We start from the raw sequence: 8579 nt of genomic DNA on the forward strand, positions 1-8579 counted from the left end.
AAGCAGGAGGGCTGAGGGCACCGCTGGTTCGTCTGTTCATGGTGGGCGGCTTTGTGTGGCCACCAGTGCTGGGTGGTGTGGGTTTGGGCTGTTCTCCCTCCTGGCTCAGCACGGGCCCGTCAGCCCAGTGTCCTTTGGGCCTGCCCTTCCCCTAGCATCCCTGGTTGGAAGGGTGTCCTCACAGGGCTGTGGGCGGGCCAGGGCTGGCTGCTGGTTAAATTTAGTGTGGGGGGTGGGGCAGCTGCCCAAGGTCCACCTGCCACCAGGGCTGCCACTTGGACTCCCTTGCCAGGGGGCGGGCAGGGGCTGGCTCTGCCTGGGGCCAGGCCCATGTTAACCTGTGCCCCGGCCTGGGGGCCAGAGGGGCAGGCCTGCGCACGGGGAGGCTGTTGTGGCAGCGGAACAGAGACGTGCACGGTGAGAGGCCTGGGGGCCGGCTGTCCAGGGCTCCCGATGGCTTTTCTCCCAGCCAGCAGGATCAGAGGAGCCAAGGTCCGACTTGGGCCTGGCTGGTTGCCCACAGCCCTGCTCAGAGGGCCGGCTCCCTGACCCCCATGGTTCAGGTTTCGGTGCCCGACGCTGGGGTGGGCCAGCGTGGAGCCTGGCCTTTCAGCTCAGCAGGCCTGTGGAGGTGGGGCTCTGACGGCCTATCCCAGCTCGTTTCCTACTCTCTCCTCCAATCGGGAACAAGAGGGCTGGAGAGCTCAGGTCACCCCTAGCCTCGGGTGTGTCCCAAGGGCAACCCCCAGCTGGTGCCTGGTGAAAGGGCATGACAGCAGCCACGGTGTGAGCTGTCCCAGGGCTCAGGGCTGGACTGCCTGGCTCCAGCCCCCTCCCCCAGCCCCTCGCAGTGCTCATCAGGGACCAAGGTCCAGCTACAGAGCTCTTGCAGCCTCTGGGCCATAGCTGCCAGCTCTGGAGGGTCCAGATGGAACCCAGAGCCTGAACACCCCTCCCCTCCCCCCAGCACCCCCTGGATTCCTGAGGCCTGGCTCAGTTAATAGGAGACAGGTCCGCTGGCCCAAGCAAAGATGCGGGTGCCACGAGGGCCAGGCCTCGGCCAAGCCCTGCTGGGGTAAATCCCAGCAGCCCAGGCTCCAGTCTCGCCTCGGGGGTCCCTCCTTGCCAGCTCTGCCAGCCCCTCAGGGCTGCTGGGCACCCCTTCACCTCCTGAGCACCCCAGGTGCTCAGCCCTCTCCCCCTCCCCCCATGTCTAGTCCCTCAGAGCTGTCCGGACTGACGTCTGTACCTACCCCCCATGTGGGTCTCCTGCTCTCCCTTCGTGGGGACACTAGGCAGGCACTGGGCCTTGCCCCAAGCCCCGCCTGCCACCTCACCCACTGCCTCTGCCTCCCTGGGGCAGAGCTGTTCCCAGACGGGTGGGGCGGGGCCCAACTGTCCCCAGCTCCTTCAGCCCTTTCTGTCCCTCCCAGTGAGGCCAGCTGCGGTGAAGAGGGTGCTCTCTTGCCTGGAGTTCCCTCTGCTACGGCTGCCCCCTCCCAGCCCTGGCCCACTAAGCCAGACCCAGCTGTCGCCATTCCCACTTCTGGTCCTGCCACCTCCTGAGCTGCCTTCCCGCCTGGTCTGGGTAGAGTCATGGCCTCGAGCACAGGTGACCGGAGCCAGGCGGTGAGGCATGGACTGAGGGCGAAGGTGCTGACGCTGGACGGCATGAACCCGCGTGTGCGGAGAGTGGAGTACGCAGTGCGTGGCCCCATAGTGCAGCGAGCCTTGGAGCTGGAGCAGGAGCTGCGCCAGGTATGGCCCAGGGCCCCTCGCTGCCCTCCAGGTCACAATGGGGTGGCCGAGTTGGCCCCAGCCCCACTGGCACATGGGACAAGGGCTGAGGGGTTAGGTAGGGCACAGTCTCCCTGCCTGCTCCCCTCCCCTCCCAGGGTGTGAAGAAGCCTTTCACCGAGGTCATCCGTGCCAACATCGGGGACGCACAGGCTATGGGGCAGAGGCCCATCACCTTCCTGCGCCAGGTGAGGCTCCTGCACTGCCCGGAGCACCCCCCCACCCCCAGCCCATGTGCCCTGGCCTCAGCACTCCGTCTTCCCAGGTCTTGGCCCTCTGTGTTAACCCTGATCTTCTGAGCAGCCCCAACTTCCCTGACGATGCCAAGAAAAGGGCGGAGCGCATCTTGCAGGCGTGTGGGGGCCACAGTCTGGGTGAGAGCCAGGGCCAGGAGGAAGCAGAGGGCCGCCCTGCCACTGGAGGAGGGAAGTCCCTTGGGAGGGCTGAGGAGAACTTCACCTGTACTTCCCATCCTGTCCTGCCCGAGTCCAGGGGCCTACAGCGTCAGCTCCGGCATCCAGCTGATCCGGGAGGACGTGGCGCGGTACATTGAGAGGCGTGACGGAGGCATCCCTGCGGACCCCAACAACGTCTTCCTGTCCACAGGGGCCAGCGATGCCATCGTGGTAGGCTGGGCATGGGCACCAAGACATTCCTGACACTGCAGAGGGGGCGCCCAGGGTGGGGGACAGGTGCGGCCCCAGGCCTCGCCAACCCTGCCTTCCCCTTCCTTTCCGCAGACGGTGCTGAAGCTGCTGGTGGCCGGCGAGGGCCACACACGCACGGGTGTGCTCATCCCCATCCCCCAGTACCCACTCTACTCGGCCACGCTGGCAGAGCTGGGCGCAGTGCAGGTGGATTACTACCTGGACGAGGAGCGTGCCTGGGCGCTGGACGTGGCCGAGCTTCACCGTGCACTGGGCCAGGCGCGTGACCACTGCCGCCCTCGTGCGCTCTGTGTCATCAACCCTGGCAACCCCACCGGTGCGTTCCCCGCCGCCCCGCCCCACTCCCCCCGCGCCCACGTTGCGTTCCCCGCCGCCCCGCCCCACTCCCCCCGCGCCCACGGTGCGTTCCCCGCCGCCCCGCCCCACTCCCCCCGCGCCCACGGTGCGTTCCCCGCCGCCCCGCCCCACTCCCCCCGCGCCCACGGTGCGTTCCCCGCCGCCCCGCCCCACTCCCTCCGCGCCCACGGTGCGTTCCCCGCCGCCCCGCCCCACTCCTCCCGCACCCACGTGCGCCCTGGCCCAGGCAGTGCCGGGTCCGCTGGACCCCGGCTGCCCAGCGGAGGGCAGTGCGCCCCCTTGGCTCACCCAGCACTGCTGCCTCCCCGGCACCCCAGGGCAGGTGCAGACCCGCGAGTGCATCGAGGCCGTGATCCGCTTCGCCTTCGAAGAGCGGCTCTTTCTGCTGGCGGACGAGGTGCGCGGCGCGGGGGAGCGGGAAGCCGGGCAACAGTCCGCCCCCGTGACGCCTTGCGCCCTTCCAGGTGTACCAGGACAACGTGTACGCCGCGGGTTCGCAGTTCCACTCATTCAAGAAGGTGCTCATGGAGATGGGGCCGCCCTACGCCGGGCAGCAGGAGCTTGCCTCCTTCCACTCCACCTCCAAGGGCTACATGGGCGAGTGCGTGCGTACGAGGCGGGTGGGGGCTCGCGGGCCATGGCCAGGCCCTCCTCGCCCGATGGGCCACCCCCTCCTCCGCACCTGACCTGGCCGTGCGCAGGTGCGGGTTCCGCGGCGGCTATGTGGAGGTGGTGAACATGGACGCTGCAGTGCAGCAGCAGATGCTGAAGCTGATGAGTGTGCGGCTGTGCCCGCCGGTGCCAGGACAGGCCCTGCTGGACCTGGTGGTCAGCCCGCCCGCGCCCACCGACCCCTCCTTTGCGCAGTTCCAGGCTGTGAGTTGGGGGCAGGAGGGGGTCCAGGTGACCTAATCAGGGGTGGGGGATGCCGAGTGCCGTGCCCTGATGGGCCCTCCCTCCGCGGCCACAGGAGAAGCAGGCAGTGCTGGCAGAGCTGGCGGCCAAGGCCAAGCTCACCGAGCAGGTCTTCAATGAGGCTCCTGGCATCAGCTGCAACCCAGTGCAGGGCGCCATGTACTCCTTCCCGCGCGTGCAGCTGCCCCCGCGGGCGGTGGAGCGCGCTCAGGTCAGGCGGGGGCGGGGCCTGCGGGGTGGGCAGGGGGGGCCGGGCATCCCTCTCTGACGGCTCTCCGTCCACAGGAGCTGGGCCTGGCCCCCGATATGTTCTTCTGCCTGCGCCTCCTGGAGGAGACCGGCATCTGCGTGGTGCCAGGGAGCGGCTTTGGGCAGCGGGAAGGCACCTACCACTTCCGGTGAGGCCTGGCCCTCACTCCCTGTCCCGCCACCCTGGCCCTTCACTCACTGTCAACTCCTTTCAGGATGACCATTCTGCCCCCCTTGGAGAAACTGCGGCTGCTGCTGGAGAAGCTGAGCAGGTTCCATGCCAAGTTCACCCTCGAGTACTCCTGAGCACCCCAGCTGGGGCCAGGCTGGGTCGCCCTGGACTGTGTGCTCAGGAGCCCTGGGAGGCTCTGGAGCCCACTGTACTTGCTCTTGATGCCTGGCGGGGTGGGGTGGGGGGGGTGCTGGGCCCCTGCCTCTCTGCAGGTCCCTAATAAAGCTGTGTGGCAGTCTGACTCCAGGGAGGAAGCGTTGGCAGCTGCGTGGCCCGCTCCCACCTGCCTACCCTTCTTGCAGGCCTGAGTCCCTTCAGAGAAGGGACCTTCCACGGCCACCACCCACCTCTTCCTCCTGAAGACCCCGTGCCCACCATAGGCTGGGTCTTCCCTCTGGCCTCTGGTTGTGGGGCAGAGCCCGTCAGATCACACAGAAATGGGTTGAGAGGGTCCAGAGTGTGAGGAAAGCGCAGGCCCCACACCCCTTTGTGGAAGCCCCCAAGAATCTAGGGAGCCAGGGGCCCAGGTGGCCACCCGAAGAAACACAGCCTTTCCTGAGGAAGGCACAGTGAACTGCCTCCTTCCTGGCTCCCTTTCCTGTGAGGTCCATGTCTTCCCTGGGGCAGGGGGAAATACTAAACCAGCATGGTGCTGGCTGGTCAGGGTGACTGACAGCTCAGGAAGGAAGTCTTGGTTCTCTTACCCAAGGAAGCAGGGGTGGGGCCACTGTCTGGGGGGCCAGAGACCACCTTTGGTGTCATTGTGTGGTGCAGTCCTTCGGCTGGGTGGAGTGGGAGGCAGAGGGAGAGGATAAGGGAGCGTCCCAGGGGAGGGCTGGGGCTGGAGGAGGCAGGGGCTGGGCTGAGCGGGAGTGGGCAGCGCTGTGTCCTGGCCTGGGGAGCATGGCTGAGCACCTACTACATGCAGACACTGCTGGGGGGTCACTCAATCTGCACAGATGCTCTTCTGAAGTAGGCATGATAGTCCCCATTTGATAGACGTGGAAACCTGCAACCCAAAAACCTGCTGAGCTGACAAGAAACCCCCTCAGAGGCCTCGGCAGCCAGAAAAATGCGTTGGGTCCAGTGCCCTCAAGTCCGCCAAGGACAGGGCTGGCTTTAGAGACTCACAAACTTGGGAGATAGGACTGGCCAAGGGCACCTGGTTTTTTTCGCTCTGGAGATGGTTCTTAACCACAGGCCACACACACTTCACAGCCTCATCTGGCCCTCGGGAGCCCCAGAGGGCACAGCTCTGGGCAGGAGACACAGCAGGTGGGCCCCTCCCTTGGCAGGGCGGGCTCGAATCAGGCAGGGTGCTCCTAGCCTTGTCACCGGACACCGAAGGGCGTCACGGGCAGTGGCTGGCGGTGTCCTTCTGAGCTAAGCTGGGTCCTGACCTTTCACACTTCCCTCCTAACTTCCATGGCTCTGTCACCGCCTTACGGAGGAGCTGAAGCCACAGACACAGCAAGGTTGGGGTCCGCACCGGAAGTATCCAGTGGTAGACGGCGGAACCCTTAAGAAACGGACGCCTTCATGCGGGCGGCTGGAGAAGCGGGGGCTGGGCACTGCAGCAACCACGCTTCGGCTGACACCAGGAAGGAAGCACGCCTGGAGCGGATCCGAAACTACTGAGAGGGGCCAGGGCTGGCCGTGGGCGCAGGCCGATCCTTACATTCGAGGCCGGCCCAGCTCTGTAGCTTCCCCCTCTGGGCCTCTCACCCGCGCAGGACCTCGGTGGGAGCGCGCACGTGGCGGGGCGGGGGGCCGCGGGCCCGAGCCCGGACTGGCCACCGGGGGCGCCCGCGAGCTGACGCTCTGGCCCGTTGCGGTCTCTGTGGCCCGCGCGACCTTCCGGCCCTGGAGCCGGTGGCCGCGGGGCTCCAGCGACGCCGTGTGGTCCGTGCTCCGCTCTGTGGCTCCAGGGGGCCGAGAAACTGCTGAGAGTCCGGCCCGGCCGGCAGTGCTGGGCGCGGGCCGAGGGCCCCGGGAGGCAGCGGCCCCGCCCTCTTTACCTGCGGCCTCGCAGAGCATGCTGGGAGCCGCGGGAGGCAGTGGCCCCGCTCCCCTCACCTGCGGTATCGCAGAGCATGGTGGGAGCCCCGGGAGGCAGTGGCCCCGCCCCCTTCCCTGCGGCCGCGCAGAGCATGCCGGGAGCCGCCGGCCGCCGGTGTCCGGACCGCTCGCCCCCGTTTGGACCCGACTTCGGTTCTTCTGGGGTGTTGATGCTCCTAAAGCCCGAGAGCACGTGTCCAGACCCTAGCCTGTACGACGCTGACTCTGCCCGGTCCCAGAACCAAAGCCATGCCGGGGTGTGGCCTCTGACCCCACGCGGAGGGGACCTCGCCTTGCGGGACCCCACCTGGAACCCGACCTCCCAGCCTCGCAGCCGGCCTGAGCCGCCATGCGCGGGAAGTTGCTGCCGCTGGCCGGCCTCTACCTGGTGCAGGGCCTGCCCTACGGGCTCCAGTCCGGCCTCCTGCCAGTGCTGCTGCGTGCCGGCGGCCTCTCGCTGACGCGCGTGGGGCTGGCCAAGGTTCTGTACGCTCCGTGGCTGCTCAAGCTGGCTTGGGCCCCGCTGGTGGACGCGCAGGGCTCGGCGAGGGCCTGGGTGACGCGCAGCACGGCGGGCCTGGGCCTGGTGTGTGGGCTGCTTGCCGGGCTGCCCCCTCCTGGAGCTGGCCAGGCCGGGCTGCCCGCCGCTGTGGCGGGGTTGCTGCTGTTGTTGAACCTGGGTGCCGCCATGCAGGATGTGGCCCTGGACGCGCTGGCTGTGCAGCTGCTGGAGCCGGCCGAACTGGGGCCGGGCAATACCGTGCAGGTGGTCGCGTACAAGCTGGGGGCCGCGCTAGCTGGGGGCGCGCTGCTGGCGCTGCTGCCCACCTTCTCGTGGCCGCAACTCTTTCTGCTCCTGGCTGCCACCTACTGGCTGGCCGCGGCCCTGGCCTGGGCTGCACCAGCCCTGCGGCGGCTCCCACAGCAGCCCCCTTCCGAGCAGCGTCCCCACACCGCGCACCTTCTGCGGGACGTGCTAGCCGTGCCGGGGACCGTGTGGACGGCAGGCTTTGTGCTCACCTACAAGCTGGGTGAGTGAGGCCTCGAGCCAGGCAACAGCAGTTGGGGCTTCCGGGACAGCTCCAGGTGTGTCCCCAGGGGCTTGCAACCCATTACAGGGCCACGCTCTTTCTGGGGTATGACCTGCAAGACTTGGCCCTGACATCCGGGGCTCTGCAGCTGGGCCTTGTGTCTTGTCCGCCCCCAGCTCTAGCCCCATCCCTGAGCGCTCTCTCGGGCTGCCCCACTTCTCCCCCAGTATCTGCAGCTCTGGAACACTGAGGAGAGCAGGGCAGGACTGAGGGCCCAGGTGGGGAGAAGGGAGGTGGGGGCAGATATGGAACCTCCCGTGCTCATGCCCCCCCCACCACCCAAGGTGAGCAGGGTGCCAGCAGCCTGTTTCCTCTTCTCCTGCTGGACCACGGCGTTTCTGCTCCCGAGTTGGGACTGTGGAATGGTGTGGGTGCTGTGGTCTGCTCCATCGCTGGCTCCTCCCTGGGTGGGACCTTGCTGGCCAAGCACTGGTGAGCCCTCCCCAGTGTACCCTGCCCACCCACTTGTACCTGAGCTGCCCCCAATCCACTATACTGACCCATTTCCCACCCCCATCCCAGGAAACTGCTGCCTCTGTTGAGGTCGGTGCTGCGCTTCCGCCTCGGGGGCCTAGCCTGTCAGACTGCCTTGGTCTTCCACCTGGACACCCTGGGGGCCAGCATGGACGCTGGCACAATCTTGAGAGGTGAGGGGCTGGCCTTGAGGAGGAAGAGAGGGGCCAGGAGCCTGGGGCACTGCTGACTTCTGCCCTCCCAGGGTCAGCCTTGCTGAGCCTATGTCTGCAGCACTTCTTGGGAGGCCTGGTCACCACAGTCACCTTCACTGGGATGATGCGCTGCAGCCAGCTGGCCCCCAGGGCCCTGCAGGTGAGTAGATGTAGCAGGGACACAAGAGAGACCACGGGGCTGGGGCTGTGTGGGCCTGACCTTGACCGTGACCCCCACCCCCCTCAGGCCACACACTACAGCCTTCTGGCCACGCTGGAGCTGCTGGGGAAGCTGCTGCTGGGCACTCTGGCCGGAGGCCTGGCTGATGGGTTGGGGCCACATCCCTGCTTCTTGCTCCTGCTCATCCTCTCTGCCTTTCCCGTTCTGTACCTGGACCTAGCACCCAGCACCTTTCTCTGAGCTGAGTGGCTGGAGTGGTCAATAAAGCCACATGTGCCTGTGGCCCAGATGTCTCTGTGCCTGGAATATGTGATGTGCTTGTCCCCAGCTTGTGGGGGTTGCCTCATTGGCCAAGAGGGCCCA

At 67.1% G+C, this 8579-nt stretch overlaps 2 protein-coding genes and 1 long non-coding RNA gene across 14 annotated transcripts in view, besides 6 other annotated features; 2 read left to right on the plus strand and 1 right to left on the minus strand.

The window, feature by feature from the left end:
• The window catches only part of LOC101928953 (uncharacterized), an 11385-nt gene extending 8619 nt beyond the window's left edge, over positions 1 to 2766 (minus strand). For 4 of the 5 annotated variants that reach the window (XR_007061148.1, XR_007061147.1, XR_007061150.1 and 1 more), the window contains exons 1-2: positions 2664 to 2740; positions 2257 to 2458 (exon numbers count right to left, since the gene is read on the minus strand). This is a non-coding gene — a long non-coding RNA (uncharacterized LOC101928953). Of the gene's footprint in view, positions 1 to 2256; positions 2459 to 2663 lie in introns of all 5 variants that reach the window. The other variant, XR_007061149.1, reaches the window with a different exon arrangement.
• Positions 158 to 452: a silencer, noted in NCBI's record as "tiled region #2015; K562 Repressive non-DNase unmatched - State 8:EnhW". NCBI's record gives its function as "represses a minimal TATA promoter and a strong SV40 promoter by Sharpr-MPRA in K562 cells {active_cell/tissue: K562}" and the evidence as "EXISTENCE:reporter gene assay evidence [ECO:0000049][PMID:27701403]".
• Positions 360 to 4464, plus strand: GPT (glutamic--pyruvic transaminase). 5 transcript variants are annotated; one of them, NM_001382665.1, is made up of 12 exons: positions 360 to 417; positions 1434 to 1758; positions 1896 to 1985; positions 2063 to 2171; positions 2290 to 2423; positions 2538 to 2781; positions 3140 to 3219; positions 3287 to 3423; positions 3524 to 3698; positions 3793 to 3948; positions 4023 to 4135; positions 4202 to 4464. In NM_001382665.1, exons 2-12 carry the CDS (start codon positions 1597 to 1599, stop codon positions 4290 to 4292), a joined length of 1491 nt encoding a protein of 496 aa, NP_001369594.1. In that variant the 5' UTR covers positions 360 to 417; positions 1434 to 1596; the 3' UTR covers positions 4293 to 4464. The 5 variants fall into 5 exon arrangements, 3 of the variants coding, with proteins under 3 accessions (NP_001369594.1, NP_001369593.1, NP_005300.1); NM_001382664.1 differs by having other exon boundaries at positions 1593 to 1758; NM_005309.3 differs by lacking the exon at positions 360 to 417 and having other exon boundaries at positions 1432 to 1758.
• Positions 1080 to 1740: an enhancer, noted in NCBI's record as "H3K4me1 hESC enhancer chr8:145729171-145729831 (GRCh37/hg19 assembly coordinates)". NCBI's record gives its function as "activates a minimal SCP1, AML or CMV promoter by ChIP-STARR-seq in naive H9 embryonic stem cells {active_cell/tissue: H9 hESC(naive)}" and the evidence as "EXISTENCE:reporter gene assay evidence [ECO:0000049][PMID:30033119]".
• Positions 4843 to 4972: an enhancer, noted in NCBI's record as "active region_28100". NCBI's record gives its function as "activates an Ori minimal core promoter by ATAC-STARR-seq in GM12878 lymphoblastoid cells {active_cell/tissue: GM12878}" and the evidence as "EXISTENCE:reporter gene assay evidence [ECO:0000049][PMID:35858748]".
• Positions 5283 to 5412: an enhancer, noted in NCBI's record as "active region_28101". NCBI's record gives its function as "activates an Ori minimal core promoter by ATAC-STARR-seq in GM12878 lymphoblastoid cells {active_cell/tissue: GM12878}" and the evidence as "EXISTENCE:reporter gene assay evidence [ECO:0000049][PMID:35858748]".
• Positions 5913 to 6622: a silencer, noted in NCBI's record as "silent region_19698". NCBI's record gives its function as "represses an Ori minimal core promoter by ATAC-STARR-seq in GM12878 lymphoblastoid cells {active_cell/tissue: GM12878}" and the evidence as "EXISTENCE:reporter gene assay evidence [ECO:0000049][PMID:35858748]".
• On the plus strand, positions 6362 to 8505 carry SLC33A2 (solute carrier family 33 member 2). 4 transcript variants are annotated; one of them, NM_138431.3, is made up of 5 exons: positions 6362 to 7307; positions 7652 to 7799; positions 7890 to 8014; positions 8086 to 8195; positions 8283 to 8505. In NM_138431.3, the coding sequence occupies exons 1-5, from the start codon at positions 6626 to 6628 to the stop codon at positions 8454 to 8456; spliced, it is 1239 nt and encodes a 412-aa protein (NP_612440.1). In that variant the 5' UTR covers positions 6362 to 6625; the 3' UTR covers positions 8457 to 8505. The 4 variants fall into 4 exon arrangements, 3 of the variants coding, with proteins under 3 accessions (NP_612440.1, XP_011515108.1, XP_016868494.1); XM_011516806.3 differs by having other exon boundaries at positions 7660 to 7799; NR_130120.2 differs by lacking the exon at positions 7652 to 7799.
• Positions 7154 to 7777: an enhancer, noted in NCBI's record as "H3K4me1 hESC enhancer chr8:145735245-145735868 (GRCh37/hg19 assembly coordinates)". NCBI's record gives its function as "activates a minimal SCP1, AML or CMV promoter by ChIP-STARR-seq in naive H9 embryonic stem cells {active_cell/tissue: H9 hESC(naive)}" and the evidence as "EXISTENCE:reporter gene assay evidence [ECO:0000049][PMID:30033119]".

Source organism: Homo sapiens, chromosome 8, assembly GCF_000001405.40.
Source record: "Homo sapiens chromosome 8, GRCh38.p14 Primary Assembly".
Taxonomy (NCBI): domain Eukaryota; kingdom Metazoa; phylum Chordata; class Mammalia; order Primates; family Hominidae; genus Homo; species Homo sapiens.